Source organism: Homo sapiens, chromosome 5 (genome assembly GCF_000001405.40).
Source record: "Homo sapiens chromosome 5, GRCh38.p14 Primary Assembly".
Taxonomy (NCBI): domain Eukaryota; kingdom Metazoa; phylum Chordata; class Mammalia; order Primates; family Hominidae; genus Homo; species Homo sapiens.
In genome coordinates this window covers 24,519,014-24,538,812 of record NC_000005.10, presented here as the reverse complement: position 1 = coordinate 24,538,812, position 19,799 = coordinate 24,519,014, and the positions used below count along the sequence as shown (strand labels likewise).

Sequence of the window (19,799 nt, the reverse complement as noted above, 5' to 3'; positions counted from 1 at the left end):
AGGGCAGGAGGTATACCCATCTGGCAACTGCCTGTCCATTTCCAGAATTCTCAAGGTCATTGGGCCCATTATTTCCTGCCCAAACATTCCGGAGCTTGCTTCTAGGTTTTAGAAGAGGCTCTTCTTTAAGTTAATTGCCCAAAGGTTAGACTCAGTCACTAGTACAGTAGTATATGTACTCCTAAGCCTGTTGGCTAGCCTTAAGGGCATCTGTTGAAAAATAACCTAGATGGAATTTGTTCATGACACATGAACTCCTGGACTGGCATTTGCACTAGGATGGTGTGTACATTGGGCTGAGATGTCCACATGAAGGCATGCAAAGCTCTTTGATGTGATGAAGTGATTCTCAAAGCTTCAGTGTGGTTATGTTACAGGCTCAGGAAAAGAAGCAAGACACAGGCCTTGTATTGCCTTGTTCCTGCACAGAATTTGTCCTTGTAGGTTTTTAAAAAGGTAGATTTGACAAGGCAGGAGGCTAGAACATATTTTATTTTATAGTTCATTAATTTTATTTATAACTTTAAAATTTACAGACATGTGTTATGTAGATATCTATCTGCTCTGAGTACTACAAATATTTGTGGGGTAATCGCTGTCTATTGTATAAACCAAAAAATAATGTATGTTGTTTTTAAAGTAAGAACTTTGTCTCCTACAGCTTTGCTTGTCTTACAGTTCTTAAGACATTACTAATTCATCAACAAAAATATGATAGCTAATAACAAGTTTATAGCAGATTTTGTTTTGCACCATTTAAGAATAAAATAATCTTTCATTCACAGAAAGAGATGAGAGAGCAATGTTTACACCCACCTATCAAGACTGATATCTTATATCTGGGACAGAATTTATTTGCCCATAAAAATGAATATTTACCAAGCAAAGACAGGAGCTTGGTTTAATTTTATTACATTTTTTTCATTTAGAATAAAAAGTATCCTGATATATAAAAGGCTATTCATATTCTTTAAAGTGTATAAATGCGTGTGATCAAACTTATTCAGCTCTCATTTCAAGAAGTAGGATAGCCGACCCCGTTGCTCAGTGATGAGACATGAAAGACCTTCTGCGAATTCTTTCAGCATCCTGCACCTTTATACATGATCATGGATATACTCTTTTTTATTTCCCCTAGCTACATTCAGACCAAGATAAAGGAGATGGATCACTCAAATATATCTTATCTGGAGATGGAGCTGGTACTCTTTTTATTATTGATGAAAAAACAGGTGATATTCATGCCACAAGGCGAATTGATAGGGAGGAAAAGGCCTTTTATACTCTACGCGCACAAGCTATTAACAGAAGAACTCTGAGGCCAGTAGAGCCAGAGTCAGAGTTTGTGATCAAAATTCATGATATCAATGACAATGAGCCAACGTTCCCAGAAGAAATCTATACAGCTAGTGTTCCCGAAATGTCTGTTGTAGGTAAGTTCATTTACAGCGTTTATGATGGTATTCAAAAAGTGTTTTAAAAATCAAGAAATTCTTATAATAGTATAATCAATTAATTGAAATCCTCTTTGATTTGCTACCATGAGTACATATTTATTTATTTTTTCTTTTAGGAGACAATCAGAAAAAAAAAGATCAATGCAATTTACACTTCCTACAGATTTGTGAATCTTTATAATACATATAGGTAGACACTCTCCTCAAAAATCAAGAAAATATCATTGAACTTCAGTAGAAAATTGTGAAAATAATTTTTTTGTCCCTTGGATTCAGATAAAAGTTGTATAAATTTCTGATCCCAAATATAATATAAATACATTTAGAATACCATAGAGGTTATATAATCTTCACATATACTCTAGTCATAATTTACCGAAAAATTTCATCTGGAATATGTACTATCTACATATTTCAATTGAGGAAATTGATTAGAATTTTTTTATTAAACATCATAAAAAAATCCTATCATTATAATTATTATGTATAAAACTCTGCTGGTATCTTTCAACTTCTTTGAAATCTTATTTTCGAAAAAAACCAGTTGAAAACCTATGGTTAAATACATACTGATACAGAATTACCAAGTTAGATTGTGGAACCTGTAAAACATAAGGCATGAAAAAAGGTAGAAATATAACATTCAAGAAAGTAGAATTTCTCTTTTCAATGTACATAAATGGGAGATGTATCTGTAGGCCAAGAAAATTAAAACTGCATTAATTTTTTAAATTAGATATAGAATGACAGGCAATGAAAAGCATCAGAGAACAGTGATAACATTTTTAGAGTCATATTTTTGGATTTGGTAAGAGAATAGACACTTCTCAAATATGTGTGAAGTTGTTTAAACTGATTAAACAAATCTAAAGCTTTTTTTTACTTGTAACAGTTATAGTTGTACATTTTCAGACTCTACATTTCTCAAAAGCATTGTTCTGGGATTGTTATTTAATATTTACTTCATTAAATCCCAAGAACTTCTGGCAGTCATCTCACTATAAAGTCCTTTTAAATATCTTGAACTTTATTAAATAGATTTTAGTAGTTCATGGAACTTGGGATCATGTTGAATTGTTTCTAAATTTAGAATTTAATCTATTCATAAAATTGTATTCTAGAGCAGATGTTAATTATTTTTAGAGTTAATTAGTGGAGAGGGGGAAGAAGAACATACTTACTCCTGTGTGATTAGATATGCCCTTTACACAAAACAAATCTATTATGTGAAAATGAATTTCAATATCCAACTTGAGCATTTGTAAAGTGACTGTATTTATTATATTCTGTATGCTAGAATTATTTATTGCATGCATAAAAATAGACATGTTGACTAAATAAATATTATGTATTTGAACTCAGAGTTTACCTGTAATAACACTATATATCTACATATTCATCCAAATTATATATGAAAGTTTCTTTAAGAGGTCATGATTAAAGCCAGAAATCATTCAAGTCTTCAATGAAAACCAGTGCTTTTGCTCCTCCTTCTGGTACTGTGCAGAACTAAGCTGAATTTGGATACTTCAGGTACTTCTGTGGTGCAAGTCACAGCTACAGATGCCGATGACCCTTCATATGGGAACAGCGCCAGAGTCATTTACAGCATACTTCAAGGGCAGCCCTATTTCTCTGTGGAGCCTGAAACAGGTCAGGAATCATGAATTGCTGTTTGTTCATTTGATCATCTTTATGACCTTTATCAGTAGAAAGACCATGGGAGAATAAGAACAAAACCTTAACATTAATACTCACAGATGAGTGAAGACACAACACTTAAAGATATAAGAACTCAAAGTTAAATGATAGAGTGAACTAATGGAAACCTCTGTTTAGATATTTGAACATATAAGCATAGGCCACTCAAAGCACATGTGGTATTGCTAGGAAAGGGTAACACAATACAAATGATATTTCCGCAGAATCACTTTTATAATTTCTAGACAATAAAAACGAGTATCAAAACGTATCTTTCAAAAAAATCACTAGCTTAAAAATACTTTTTGTGGACTTAATAAAATAACAATGGAGATTTCAGTGAAGATAATGGAAGTTTTTTTATATTTTCTCAAGGTATCATCAGGACTGCTTTACCGAACATGAACAGAGAAAACAGAGAGCAATACCAAGTGGTCATCCAGGCCAAAGACATGGGCGGCCAGATGGGAGGCTTATCGGGGACAACCACTGTGAACATCACGCTGACAGATGTCAATGACAACCCACCACGTTTCCCCCAGAGTAAGCACCCTTTAATGGTCATTCTGCCGGGCAAAAGATTTAGAGTAAAAAAAGACAGACAAAGAAAGAAAAAGAAAAGAAAAAGCAATTGTCATTCATTTAATTTAAAACATATTGAAAATGTGATACAAAAGTAAACAAAAGGTGTACATGCTGATGAACTCACTGTTATTAAAAGATAAAATTGAATATTACAAGCATATTTCACTCAGAGACAGGAAGACCTATGATCCCAAACCTCTTCATATGTGAGCCTGGCATCTGTAATTGTAGTTTAAGAACTGTTTCTTTCAGCTAACAAAAGGAAACAATGTTTATTAGAAAACAAAGTCATAATTTTACAATAAATATGTTTGTTTCTGTTTCAAATTAAATAAAGGGGAACCTAAATTGAGGACAATTTTTTTCGACAAAAAATCTAATTTGACAAATTATAAGAACTAAGCCAGAAAGCACTGTAGATCGAGAACCTCCGAAAACTATCTGACTTGCATTTAATGTTATTATGTGTGGAGTGACAACCTTAGTATAACATTTTGCATTCCTGATCTATGCATAGATCTATTTTGAACTGACCTCTCAAATTCTTAAAATAGATTAGGAATAGGTAAAGAACCTTTAGCTCCTGACCATAGAAACACATGCATTTATTCTTCTTTCTTGTACAAATTTGGTAGATTACATGTCTGCTCGCATACTAAAGAGGATGGTATCAAGTCTCAATGGACACTCCCAATTTTTTGCTTTGCTAAAAGATCCTGTATTTAAAGATAGAAATTAGGGTCATTAGAAATGTGACACAAAAAAAAATATTCGACTACAGCCTATGTCCTGAATGTCCAGTATATGCTGAATATTAACCTCTGAATTGGTCCCCCCACCATTTTAGTTTGTAATTTACTTTAAATACCTTGTGATAAAGTATTAAAATTTAAAGGCAGTAGCTTTTTTTGTAATATTTATCTTTATATTAAAGGCCGTTGCTCAGAGGAATTACTGTCTAAGAATTAACAGCATTGTTTTGACTCTTTAAAAGCATTTTTTCTCTTTTCTGTACTATTTTTACCTAACTTTCATTATTAATAGTGCATGATTCAAATTAAATTGTTTAAAAGCATGTATTTGGAAAGATTTCAAAATTCATATAGAATTTTCTTGAGCACACTAATCACGTACCTATATATTTGTGACAGTTTTTGATTAGATATTTAACGTATGCCCATCAGGTCTGCTGCTGTGGTGCTGGGCTCCAGAACTCATAGGGCAAGGCATGTGCTTATGCTTTTTTCAATTAATTAGGTTTCAGCTCCAGGTTACCTTTAATATTGGTAAGAAAAATAAAACCAATAATAATCCTGCATATTTCTTAGAACAAGTTTAAAGGTGTGTGCTGTTTAAAATTTAAATTTCACATTTTACAAGTATTTTTGACCACCTCTTAGCTCGAGCCTTTTACCAGGAGAATGAACATGCAAATTCAGCACAATAAACCATAACTAATTAATTGCATAATCCACAATGAGCAAAACTATTACTGGAGAAAAAAAGTATTTTATCAGTAATAAATTTCCTTTGGGAGTAGTATTATATTTTACATTTTCAGGAATATATATACACATGTGTCTAAAATACAGTCCATTTACAAATGACACATTTAATAAGTAAATTAAATCTACCTCCAACTCCGAATGTATAGTACAATACATTTAGAGGATTTTAGATCATCCCATATCTTGTCTCATTATTATTATGACTATTATTATTGTTATTATTATTATTATTTTTGAGAGTGAGTCTCACTCTGTGCCACAGGCTGGAGTGCAGTGGTGTGATCTTGGCTCACTGCAACCTCCACCTCCCGGGTTCAAGTGATTCTCCTGCCTCAGCCTCATGAGTAGCTAGGATTACAGGTTCATGCCACCATGCCCAAATAATTTTTGTAATTTTAATAGAGACAAGGTTTCGCCGTGTTGCCCAGGCTCATCTTGAACTGTCCCATTATTTTCAAATTATAGATGGAAACATAATTTATGGATTTTTATTTTCTAAGTTATCTTTTTTGTTATGAATATTTACAACCTTATCTGACCTTTGGGAACACACATTCATGAGAATTAGAATGTTATTTGATTGTCTAAATCATATAACGTCTGGAAAATTGTATTTCATATTGAATGTTATTTAAATAAATAGACAATCTTTGGAGGGAGTTCTACAGTTCATGAAGCCTTTCATATGTAGCATATCATTGAAACCTCACAACTAATCTATAGACACCATTACTATTATTATACCCAAAGTGTAGAAGAAAAGGAGGCTTAGGATAGAAATGATAAAGCCACATAGGAAAAGTTTTCAAAAAGCAAGAGACATTTATTTGAATTATATGTTTTTCTTTAACCCAACATTACCCTTTAAATATGTCATCAATATAAAACATACTCAAATATTTTAAATTTTTTTATCTAATTCTTAAGCTTATATCAAGTTATCAAGTATTTTCAACTTACATCAAATCTCATTTCAAAAACTACATTTGTAGTCATAGCTATATGACGGTTAGTGGCTTGGCTAGTGGCTGCCATATTGGATAGCTCAGCAGCAGGCCCTGCAGTCATCCTGTGTGAGTCCCAGTAATTTTCACTCAGTAGGTTTTTCACTTGGGTCAGTTAAACTGACCATCTATTTTTCATTGTCATCAGTAACACTGGATAGCAGTCTCTTCTTTGCGGAGTAATCTAAGACTAAATAATTTAATATCTAGGAAGCATGGACTCAGTGGCTGGAATTTAGTGTATTTATGCATCCAATAATGTTGACTAATGCTAGTGCTCTATTACCATTATTATTATTATTATTCAGTATTATAAAAGTTAGGTCACAACTCAAACTTTCCTTTAGGTTGGCTGATCCAAATTCATTATTTCCCTGTATGCTGTATCAACAATCTCAGTCATTTGGAGGAGACAGAGACAAATGAAAACTCAGATATCTTGCTTTATTTTTTCATTTATTTTATTGTGTGGATTTATAACAATGTTTCTCATTCAGTGATAATTTTGCCCTCCCTAGCCATGGCCCTGGACATTTGGCAATGTCCCAAGACGTTTTTGATTATGTCAACTGCCAAGTACTACTGGAATCTAATGGGTGGAAGCTAGGGCTGCTTCTAAGCATCCTTACAATTTTAATGACAAAGAGTTATCTGGCCCAATATCCCAGTAGCATCTAAGTGAGAAATTTTGATGTCATATGAGGGGCAATTCAAGTACATCACAAATTCATTGATATAAAAATATTTATTGAGATCACCCTTGCACCAAATACCATTGATATGGTTTGGCTGTGTTCCCACCCCAATCTCATCTTGAATTGTAGCTCCCATAATTCCCACGTGTCATGGGAGGGACCAGTGGGAGGTAACTGAATCACGGGGGTGGTCTTTCCCGTGCTATTCTTGTGATAGTGAATAAGTCTCATGAGATCCGATGGTATTATAATTGGGAGTTCCTCTATACAAGCTATCTTTCCTGCTGCCATGTAAGACGTGACTTTGCTCCTCATTCACCTTCCACCACGTTTGTGAGGCCTCCCCAGCCATGTGGAGCTGTGAGTCAATTAAACGTCTTTCCTTTATAAATTACCCAGTCTTGTGTATGTCTTTATCAGCAGCATGAGAATAGACTAATACAGCCATTTTAGAAACTAAGTACAAGTATATGGTGTTTGTCAAAATAGCAACAAAAAGCCCTGGTTTGTATCCCTATTGCCTTTCATTAAAGCAGGGGAGACAAATCATACATAAGTAAAAGCATCAGTGACTGGCAAGGGGTTGGTTCAGACCTGTATAAAAAGAATAACATGTGAGACAATTCCAATGTAAGCAGGATTTGGTGACTGGGGAAGGGGGAAGGCTAATAGAAGCTGTCATTCAAAAGGTGATATTTCACCTGAACACTGCAATATAGAGTGGATCTAGCCACCAATAGAGGGAGAAATCCACTAAGCAAAAAGATCAGCATGTGGGAAATCCTGAGGTTGGAAATTGAAGGGAGTCTATCCACAACTGAAACCTCCTGTGGCTGGAACATTCCAAAGAATGAGGAGGTTGATGGGAGATGAGTTTAGAGGGCTTTACGCTCAGGGGAACATTGATAATTATAAATTATCATTGCCATTAACAAAATCATAACTGTGTGCCTGATCTAAGTTATCTTTATAGTCTCATGGTTTTTAAAGTATATAAATATGTGAACATTAACATATGCACATTAGTATAATTCTTAAAAGGAGTTCATGGCTTAGAAGGTAGGGATGCACCTTAAAACTGATATCTAAAATCCTAATATCTAATACCTAAATCCTGATATCTAAAAGTATTTTCTACTCTTTGGGCTCTAAATATTAAAATGTATACGAAATAAATGCACTTACTTCATATGTACCAATAACAGTTCCATTGAGGAGGATTCCAGAGCAAATTTTCCTGCTCTCCAACCAAACATTCAATAATCCTTATTTTTTTCTGTTTCATTTTGCTAGTGTTAGAAAAATATTATACTTCCATACTTTAAATCTATCTGCCTGGTATTTTCACTTGAATATTTTTAGTCCTGTTTACCCCTTTTCCTTCCTTCTTTCTCTAAAATCATAAAAAATAGAAAATCATAAAATTATGTAAAATTGTGAAAACTGATCATTGGAAAGGTCTATGAAAAGATTACATTACTGAAACCTGATCATTGTAGGGCTTGACAAAACCAACTGGGACAACAGTATTTGTTTCCAAAAGGTTTTACAAAAAGTATCCCTGAGAAAATGTTACAATATTGATTTTCATCTGCCCATAGTTAGTGATTAAGGGACATCTAATGTACTGAGGCCTGGCTAATTCCATCTTTGCCTTAACACTCCAGAGAATGTCTATTTGAAAAGACTCTCAAATCTATTCAAGGAAAAAAAAAAGGCACCAGAGAAGAAGGTCAAGACCTAGAGATAAAGAGTTTGCAAAAGCATTTAAGCAGGTGGTCAGGGTCCCAGCCAACTGGTTGGTGCCTAGGACTAGACACTAGTTCAAAAAAAAAAAAAAAAAAAAGTAAAAATAGAGCCTTTTATTCACAGGTAGGTGCTTTTCCATACATCCCATCACAGGGACAAAAGTCAAGGAAAGCAGATTGTTTTCAAATTCCACTTAACAATGGGTATGAGCTCCTGAGAAACCTGGCTTTTATAGAATCATGCTTCTGTACACTCACTGACTCACAGACATTATTGCACACAATTTAGGTTGACAAATAGAAGTCATGGACCAATAACATGTACATTTATGTAGTGTCAGCTTTGCTGAGCCTTTATGAGGGAGAAAAAATCCTTACAAACTCCAAGCAAAAGGTCACTGTATGATTGAGTGACTCTCTCATATGTATGCAGGGTATTATGTATATAGATAATCAATGTCAAATTAAGTGAGATTTGATATGATATTTATTATGTAAGCATCCAGATCAATCCTAAATGCACGCAAAAGAATGAATTTATTGTTGTCTACTATATATTTCCCATGGATTATTGAGAATAGTGACAAATATAAGCAGTTTTTCATCATTTGGTTAATGTTAGTTGTGAAAATTAATAAAAAATTTCCCCACTTAAAGGACAGTTTTTATTAAGATAAATTATAGGTGATGGAAGACTTTGAGTATACAAATAAACTGAAGGAAGATCTTACTTCCTGAGAATTTCAACATCAATTCATTATATTTCCCATCAAATTAACACTAAAGATTATACACAACTACAACCAATTCAGAAGCAACTGTAAACAATTCCAGAATTATGAGGAACCTAAAAGAGATGTCATACCTATGCATGCTTGTTTGTTTGTTTTGTCTGAATGCCATTGTAGGGCTACTGACTTTATCTTATTAAATTACTTAAAAAAGGATTATCTGGTTTGCCCAAGTAAATAAAACAGCAACAGTGTAAAAATAATAGTATTAGGCATTGATATAGCATGCACTAAATACTACTGTAAAATATTGTGCAAATATAAACTCAATCTTTACATCATCCGTATGAGATAGACAATGTATTAGGTTGGTGCAAAAGTAATTTTTCCATTAATAGCAAAAACTGCGATTACTTTTGCACCAACATAAATCTACCCCTTTTCATTAGTTAAAAAAACAGAATCATGTAAATGTAAAGTCACTTGTTCATGAAATAAATAAGAAGCAGGTTGCGGATCCAGGTTATTCGGCTTTTAAGCCTGTGCTTCAAAGCACTACACCTAGAAAGATATTGGCACATCAAAAATTTAATCTTCCTTGATGCATCCCACTTTAGTTAATTCTGTAGTTCACTACTTTTACATAGATTATAGGGCAAAATTCAGGCAGGACACACTGAATTCTTAAAATGTGTATGCATGTTGATACAGAGACAGGTAAATCATACTTTTATTGCTTGGTGCTTTTGCAATATCCAAGGACCAAACACGACTGACCTCTTTTCTGGGATCCTTATACTGCCTGGGCAGATAAACAAGTTTGCATGAGACAAGGTCTTTCAAGGAAATGTCTATATGATATACATAGGGATTTAAGACACGTACGTTCAGTGAGCTGTGAGACTATCATAATCCCTGCCTGGTACAAGAGAGATTTGATTTAATAAGTGCTGATTTTCACTTTGTAAATAGAGTCAACCTCTCCTCTACTGGGGATCCCAAGGTAATGTAGGCCCCAGGCTGATTTGCATATTTTAAAATTATCAAGCACTTTTCAACTAGAGCAACTGTCAGGTATGCCCCAAGGAAGATGCTTCAGCATGAGAAAGAAGGGAATAAAATTAAAAATGTCTCTTTTTCCCTGTTTTATTATCTAGAAAAAAAATGAACCTACTTACATGCAAAAGCACTGTTCTACGATTTATGTTCATTAGATACAGTGTGATTTTTTACTGTGACCACCAAAATATCCTCAACTTCTGTCAGATTTTCCCTCATGTTCCCAATGCCTATAGTTTGAAGGAGTTACAAAGAAATTATGTTATTAAAGCATTCATTGATGTATTAAACATTGACCGAAGCCCTACTATGTGCCAAGAACTGTGCTAAGAAATAAAAATGAACTGTAATTGTCTTAAAGTAAGAAATTACCTACAGGATACATTCACAACTAATTTGCATTTTGGTAGGATAAACAGACACAATCTCTCTCTCTGTCTCTGATACACACAGACACACGTACACACACACACATTTACCTTTTTTCATTTCAGTTTCTCTTTTACTGATTGTCTCTCTCACTTTTTCTTGCTTGCTTTTGTAACTATACAGTCATGCACTCCATAGTGACATTTCAGTCAATGACGGACCACCTATTGTGATGGTGGTCTCGTAAGATTAGAATACCAATACTTATTTTTTACTGTGTTTAGCTATGTTTAGACACACAAATACCATTGTGTTACAATTGCCTGCAGTATTCAATACAGCAACATGCTGTACAGGTTTGTAGCCTAGGAGCAGTAGGCTGTACCATATAGCCTAGTTGTGTAGAAAGCGATACCATCTAGGTTTGTGTAAGTACACTCTGTGATGTTTGTACAACAAAATTATCTAACAATGCATTTCTCAGAACGTATCCCTGTTAAGTGAAACATGACTCTATATATTTTGTTTTGTGTATGTATGTATAAATATAAATATATATAATATGTGTGTACATGTTTATGTTTTGTGTATATATGTATAAATATAAGTATATTTGATTATATAAATATATATAAGACTGTATATTTAATTATATAAATATATATAAGACTATATTTATATAAGTATATGTAAGACTATATGTATTTAATTATGTAAGTATATATGACTATATATACTTATATTCATCCATATGTACACAAAATATATATGATTATATATACTTATACATATATACACAAAACATAAATGTGTACACACATATAACTGGAGAGTAATGCAATAAGATTAGTGCCATAATTGTCTAAATAATTAAATATTTTAGACATAAGGGAATCATGAAAAAGAACATTATTTAAAACTACTTCTAAAATGAATAAGAATTTTCCAGGCAAAAAAATAAGGGGCAATGAGGGAAGGAACATTTTTGGTGGTTATTGTTGTTAAAGGGGATAAAATGAATAAAAACAGACTTCAGTGAAATGTGTGTAATTTGGTTTAAATCAGGGATTGTGAGAGGTGAGATTATGAGATAAGACGTTGTTAGCATCATGAAAGGGTTGAATAAAAAGATAAAATGCTGCATATATTATTTAAGAGATCTTTTTTCGGACAGCATCAGGCACAGTTCTTTGTTTTGACCAATTATTTTGATAGCAATGAAGCACATTGCTGGATAGGAACAGCAAGAGTTGCTGCAGTCTGAACTAATGCTGAAGAGAAGAGGAATTTGAGATACATTTAAGACAATTTAGTAACTAGGTCGATAAAAGGTTTGAGGGTTAAAAGGTAAAATATCAATGAAAAGATACTTTCAAGCTTTCTACCGGAAGTGTTTAGTTGAAGAGAGGGACAGGGATTTCAACTGGACTTGAGCATTTTGAATTGAGATCCCTGCAGAAAGATAGTGCTATCTAGTAGCTAGTGAAATACAGCATGTGAATCTGATGTGTGCAAATGAGATATTAGTGAAAATAGACATGTAAAATATCAGCTAGGCTAAATGTTTAGCATGACAGAACCAGGGGAAATACACATTTTCCGTCTGTGATGAACTGTGTAATTCTCTAAGAGAAATCATGTATATGGAAATTATACAAAAACCTACTTGGAACATTCCAGTTAGTCCAGTGGAAAGTTGCCTTAGACGGAACTACTTGGCATCTTACATAATGGGATTCACACTCCTTCTGTATCATGATGTCCTCTAGGACAACTTGGACAGTATCCCTCAGTAGGTATAAATTTAGAAATATAGATGTAAAACCAGTTATGCAAACCTGTTTAGACACAATTAAAGCTGTTGTTGCAGAGTTTTTAGTACACTTACAATTTCAGGTGAGATCCATTGTAAAGAATACCTAGGACAATATATTTATGAGTGACTAATTTAAAGTTTGTCTTAACCTCGCTGAATCCTATATGCTTTTATTGTTTCTACACATTGCCATTGTGTATTATCTATTGATGCCAATTAACTTGGAGACCATTTTTGAGAAATGTAGCAAAACAGATTTCCAGGACTCTGGGGATCCATGGCAGCTTCGCTGAAAGCTTTGTCAAGTTACTTTCTTCAGTAGCTTGAACAGGAAACTAAGACATGGTACAGCATCTCGTTTTGCTCTAATTTAACTTAAATGCCCAAAGCTGAGTTGATGATCGTATCTCCAGTGCTCACAAATTTGGGTTTCTCTCTTTCCTCTGGTAAGAATCTTCAATTCGAAAGCCTCAGTAGTTTCTCAGTCTCTGGTGTGACTTTCAGCTCTCCTCTGCTTTCTCCTAAATGCCCATTTAGCATTGCATAATTTCCTTAACTACTCTGCAGTTCCCTCCAAGGAGCTTTATCTTGTTTTTAATTTCTTCCTCTTAAGCTCATTAAAAAACATCTTTTAAGCATTATACAATGGAATGGTTTATAAACGTGCATAATTATGACATTTTTCTTAAAGCAAGTATTGTTCGAGATTATCGTGCAGCATAGCGATGTTACAATATGATTATACACAAAGCAAATAAAAAAATTAAGCTAAAGTTAAATTATTTTGTTGATTCATATATATGATGCCTTTTTCATCTCAACTCTGGAGAAGTAGAATTTTAATGTAAATGTGAGTAGCAATGAGGGTAGAGAATAAAGGATTAGGATACATTATATCTCTTTGAACTTTATTGGTTTTTATCAACAAAAAGAAACAGCAGCTGTTTGTCGCTAAACTCAAAACCTAGAGGTAAGCAGTTTGCCTTTGTCGCCCTCCCAGTTGATTTCTGGCATCATTTTGTTGTTCTTAAGGAAGTCACTATGTCACATCTCTTAAATCACCTATTATATCTTTCCTCCAAAGTCGCTTACTCACGTGAGCTGTCAATTATTTTTAACTCTTGTACACAAATTGGCAGTATTTTAAATATTCAAGTGCAAAGGTCCTATTGATCAAATTTTGGTAGAAGAAGTGAACAGGAATATCAGCCTCAAATAGTGAAAAACCATAAATGCATCAAAATTGTTTGAAATCATTAATAACTGCCAGTGCAGATGTTGTGTGAGGTTGTCAGTATCAGGATGAAAGTGCACTTATTTATGTAGCCCCACATTTTGCTCAGTCCTTAGGAAGCTTTCTTTGCGATGTTACCTTCTAGATTTTTACTTTTTCAATACGACTTTATTTATGTGATATAGAAATGGCAATTACCTCTCTCCTTCTCACATTCATGCCTTTGTGCTTAAATGGGTAACCATACTAAGAATGTACCCACCAGGAAGAAATATTTATCTGCCTAAACATTAAAAGGGGAGCAGATGATTCAATCTGACACCTGGAAATGAATTTAAAACAACTATAAATTAGAATTGATAGGAAAGCGTACCACATAATTAAAGCTTCATCACTGTAAGATAAAAAAATAAGGAGCATGCAAATAGGTGTCTTTAAGGAGAAATGAAACTTAAGCACTCATTTGCCTTTGTCAGTGTACGCATAAACAATCTATGCCTGCTTTCTAGTTCCCTGCCTACTGCTTGCCCGAAATGTCAAACACCCTTGGAGGAAGAGCATGCTGGTTCTCAATTAGTAATTTCAGTTTGCTTGACAAAGTAGGATACTTCTATTCAACAGACTCATCTTAGAAATAAATTAGAAAGTGTGAATGAATCACTGTTTCATACATTTAAAATATAGAAATTCACTTTTCAATTTTGAAATAGACCCAATAAATCTTGTCCTAAAAATGATTTCTGAGCATAAACATAATTCCAGAGAAAGCACGATTAACTTCTGTATGTAGGGAACTGAATATAAATTTGTTGAATGAATTAATTACTGATGTTGCCATATAATCAATTTTTGTTTTAGGGAAAAATAAATGTGTTTATATGCATGTGTGCTTTAGAAAAAAATTAATGTACTTATGTGCATTCATGCACACACACACAACCCATCTATATTTCTTCAGACAAATTACTGTGGAAAAGAACTGATAGATCATCAATATAGTTATATTGTATCATCAGTAAAATTTTAAAAAATTTAGATTCATTTTAATGTGAAACAGTGGAGCATGATCACTTTCCCGTTTAAGTCTTGAAAGTAGTAAAAATTAACATGAAAAACACTAACTCTCATAAACATGAAATACACCTTGTAACAAATATTGTCTCTGCACCAATCGAAAAATAAAAAACAGTAATAAATAATTTTTGGATATTTGACCAGAATTATAATGGCAAGTTTAAAGCAGACATATTTTCAGATTCTAAGCATGTGCCTAAGAATACAAATCAAACAATCACAAAGAAGTCAAACTAAAAATAAAATGTTTGAGAACAAATTTCCAGAGTTAATATTCACAATGAATTCCATATGAAAGTAAAATTAATGGAACAAAGGAATGTTTTTTTCTTTTGTTTTGTCTCTTTCGGGAGAGAACATTGATATGGTAATTTTTTTATCATAAACTGATTATTTCTTCTATCATTAGGAAATTTTTTAATTTTTAAAAACAATTTTTACTAGAGTATTAAATGCATGTATGTATGCCTATGTGTGTGTATATATACATATATAAAATAAGCCATCCATTCCATTCTCATCTATAGCTCTAATTCTCACAGATAACAACTTTATTACTCTTTTTAGTTCATCTAGGATTAAGCTACAATTTTCTAACTAGTATCTTCTTGTTATTTGTTGAGATATGTTTATACATTACTCATTGACTTGCTTTTATGATTGATGAAAATGGACATCAGTTACCCATCATTCTGTTCTCCCCAAATATAATTTCACTCCCCACCCTCCCTTCCTGCCCCCATCCCCGTTTTCTGTATTAGTTATCTTTGCATATTTAAATGCCATGCTATGAAAGGTTTCCTTTGCGTGTGCCTTTATTTTGTTTTAATATTCACCATTGTCAACCTCCTTCTTTGGCTTTCTGTCCTACGAGCACTCTCACTACAGCACTAAATGTATGAAATTTTTTTTATTGTTTAAGACACAAACTGATTTTTTAGTGTAATTTTCAAAAATGCTATACTGTTAACTGTAAAATTTAGGTCTCATGTGCTAAAATTTATAGCAGAGCATACCATTGCTCCCAAAGGTCAAAGAGAAAAAAGGCAGACATTTTATTTCCTAAGTAATTATTTTCAACTGATGAATCTTTTAGATCTTTTTTAGCAGGGTTATGTTTTCCAAGATATTACAGGCTTGTGTTTTTGATGTGTTGTGTGGGCAGCTGCTGAAAATTTGTTAGTGAGCAGCCCTATAGCATTTGCTTCAATTTGGCAGACCTGAAGATGCAATCTTAGAGCCCTCAGTATTCTGGTTCCAGCACAGGCTGGCTAATCTTCATAGTCAGGGACGCCTGTCATCCCAGACTTTTTTATTTTATTTTATTTTATTTTATTTTATTTACTTTCTTGCTTTGGATTTGAACTTTCTGGATCTCATGCATTCCTAAAACTTGATTTAGTCCCTTATGTTCCTAGAATGCATTCTTTACTAGGTTTCTTAAAAAGATCCAAAGGGACTATGCTGAATCTAAAACCATCTTCATTGAGTTATCACACTTAATGTGGTGGTTAAAGTGAGCATTCAAGGTTCAAAATAGTGTTACCATAAAATTTTGATAATATTGTTCAATAATTTGTGGGATCAGGAGTTGCTGTTGAAATGTCAGTGACATTTTAATCTTTTTTTTTAACACTCACAATTACATATTAGTTTTTTTTGTTTGTTTGTTTGTTTTGTTTGTTTTTTGGTTTGTTTTTGAGACAGAGTCTCGCTCTGTAGCCCACTGGAGTGCAGTGGCACAATTGCGGCTCACTGAAACTCCTGCCTCCTGGGTTCAAGTGATTCTCCTGTCTCAGCTTCCTGAGTAGCTGGGACTACAGGCGCCTGCCACCATACCAGGCTAATTTTTGTATTTTTAGTAGAGACAGGGTTTCACCATATTGGCCAGGCTGGTCTCAAACTCCTGACCTTGTGATCCGCCCACCTCAGCCTCCCAAAGTGCTGGGATTATAGGTGTGAGCCACCTGGCACGGCCTACTTAGCAGTTTTTAAATACATTTACATCCTTCCTTTTTTCCTCCAGCTCACTTATTTTCTTGTTGGATGATGTTAATCTTTTTAACCCATCCATTATTTTCTTAACTTCAATGATTATGTTTTTAATATTCAGTTATGTTTAGTTTAATAGTTTGGTTTAATATCAAATATGCTGAGTTATTTTTTAGAGTTATAGTCTAGTCATGTTTTTATGCTTTTAATTTTTTTTTCTTTTTTTTGAGACAGAGTTTCACTCTTGTTGCCCAGGCTCGAGTGCAATGGCACTATCTCAGCTCACCGCAACCTCCGCCTCCCAGGTTCAAGCGATTCTCTTCTCCTCCCTCAGCCTTCCGAGTAGCTGGGATTACAGGCATGCGCTACCATGCCCACCTAATTTTGTAAGGAGGTTTCTCCATGTTAGTCAGGCATGCAAGCATGCACCACCATGCCCGGCTAATTTTGCATTTTTAGTAAAGACAGAGTTTCTCCATGTTGGTCAGGCTGGTCTTGAACTCCTGACCTCAGGTGATCCGCCCACCTCGGCCTCTCAGAGTGCTGGGATTATAGGCATGAGCCACCACACCCGGCCCACTTTTACTTCTTTAAACATATTTAGCGTGAGCTTGTATGTGGATTGTTCTGCATCTGATGACTCCAACATTAGCCGTTTTGTTGATCGGATTCAGCTAGAGGTTGTTTTGTTTTGGGGGTGTTTGAGTTTGAGTTTTTGTTGCTTTTCTGTTTTTTGTTTTCCTGTTAAATCTTATATAGCAGAACTGTGTTTGCTTCTGTTGAGTGCCAGGAATGCTACCCATACTTTAAATTCTCAACTTGAAAATTATTTGTGGCCGGGCACGGTGGCTCATGCTTTGGGAGGCCGAATCCAGTGGATCACCTGAGGTCAGGAGCCTAGCCAATATGATGAAACCCCATTTCTACTAAAAATACAAAAAAAAAATTTGCCGGGTGCAGTGGCACATGCCTGTAATCCCAGCTATTTGGGAGACTGAGATGGGAGAATTGCTTGAACCTGGGAGGTGGTGGCTGCAGCAAGCTGAGATGGCTCCACTGCACTCCAGCCTGGATGACAGACTGAGATGCCATCTCAAAAAAAACAACAAAAAAAAAGTGATTTGTGTTGTATATGTGTTTGTTTGTTTTAAATTTTCTAGTCGTGTTTAATAAATACAAAAGACTATAAGTAGCGCCACCTGAAAAATTACATTACAAAGATTTTAAGAATACTTTACATGTGCATATATCATCCTCTCCTTTTAGATAGTCCAGAGTTAATTACCGTGTGATAGTATCTGATCATTGAGACTGATAAATATAGAAAGGGACGGAGTTGGGGAGGTGTATGTGTATGTAACTATGTGTATATATATTCATAGTAGAATGTATGTATTCTTAAAAAATATATTGAGCTCTTCTTGTTTGAGGTTTATAAAGATAGTATCACACTGTACATCATTTTCTGAAACTTGCTTTTTTTCACTCAATGATATGTTCCCAAGATTTACCCATATTTTTCCATATAAGTATAGCTCACATTTTTTGCTTTTATATTACATTGAGATGTGTGATTATACAATGATTTATTCATCTGTTCTCATGCTGTTTGACACTTTGGTTTACTTCCTTTTTTTCATTTTACAAACAATAATTCTATATGACCTATGTCTACATATATGTCAAATTACTGACCTCCAGTACCGCAGAATTTGAGCTTATTTGGAAATAGAGAAAATAGTTTAAAATGAGGTTATTAGAGTTAAAGCTGTAATCCAGTATGAATGGTATATTTATGAAAAGGAGCAATTAAGACACAGAAATAGGGGAGGCCAAGTGAACACACAGGGAGGAGATGGGGTGCAATGGTAGTGATACAGCTACAAGCTGGGGGGCACCAAGACTTTCTAGCAAATTCCAGTAGCAGAAGCAGCAAGGGAAGATTCTCTGAGTATGTCCTCATCAGACTTGTATCCTCCAGAACTTTCAGACAGTATGTTTCTATAGTTATTGGCCACCTAGTTTTTGTTACTTTGTTACAGCAGCTCTAGGAAATTACATTTCCCAAAGTCATTGTGTCAAATATAACATCCATCAATTCTACATAATAGTTTTTATTCTACCACATACTTTTAACACTTGGGATTGTCAGACTTAACTTTTATTAATTTCATAAGTATAAAATGGTATCACGTCTTGGCTTTAATTTGCATTTGCCTGGTTTAATTTTAGGGTAGTTGTCTCTGTTTATTGATCTTTCATGTTTCCTCCACTGTAAGTTGTTTTCTATCAACATCCTTGACTAATTTCTCTACTAGGTTATTCTGCCTTTTCTTAGGGATCTTTAAACATACTGTATTTGTAAGTATGTGTGCTGAAACTATCTTCTTCTCTTTATTTGTAAAATGATTAACTTTCTGCACATTGTCTTTATTTTATAGAAGGTTTTAGTTTGAGTATAGACTGATTTATCAACCTTTTTAAATTTTGTTGTTTTAGAAATCCCTTTCAAACTGAAGATCATTAAAATATTGATCTATATTGTTTTATAAACTAAACTTTTGCTAAAATTATTTTATAAATTTAGGATTGCTGGTGAAAACCAAAAAAGATGCAGACTGAGAATTTTTAACTCAAATTTTGCATGTGGGCTGGGCACAGTAGCTCATGCCTGTAATACCGGCATTTTGGGAGGCTGAGGCAGGTGGATCTCTTGAGGCCAGGAATTTGAGACCAGCCTGGGTAACATGGCAAAAACCTATCTATACTAAAAATACAAAAATTAGCCAGGCATGGTGGTGCACAACTGTAATCCCAGCTACTCAG

The 19,799-nt window shown here is 34.0% G+C and overlaps 1 protein-coding gene across 5 annotated transcripts in view, besides 1 other annotated feature; it reads left to right on the top strand.

Moving 5' to 3' along the window:
• CDH10 (cadherin 10) overlaps window positions 1–19,799 on the top strand; it is a 157,879-nt gene that overhangs the window by 106,166 nt on the left and 31,914 nt on the right. For all 5 annotated transcript variants that reach the window (NM_001317222.2, NM_001362460.1, NM_001317224.2 and 2 more), the window contains 3 exons: window positions 1,139–1,433; window positions 2,991–3,110; window positions 3,534–3,701. Coding sequence is in view for 4 of the 5 variants with exons in the window: in NM_001362460.1 (NP_001349389.1) it covers window positions 1,139–1,433; window positions 2,991–3,110; window positions 3,534–3,701 (583 nt within the window). In the remaining variant the exon portion in view is untranslated. The remainder of the gene's footprint in view (window positions 1–1,138; window positions 1,434–2,990; window positions 3,111–3,533; window positions 3,702–19,799) is intronic.
• Window positions 199–493: a silencer, noted in NCBI's record as "tiled region #3372; HepG2 Repressive DNase matched - State 9:DNaseU". NCBI's record gives its function as "represses a minimal TATA promoter and a strong SV40 promoter by Sharpr-MPRA in HepG2 cells {active_cell/tissue: HepG2}" and the evidence as "EXISTENCE:reporter gene assay evidence [ECO:0000049][PMID:27701403]".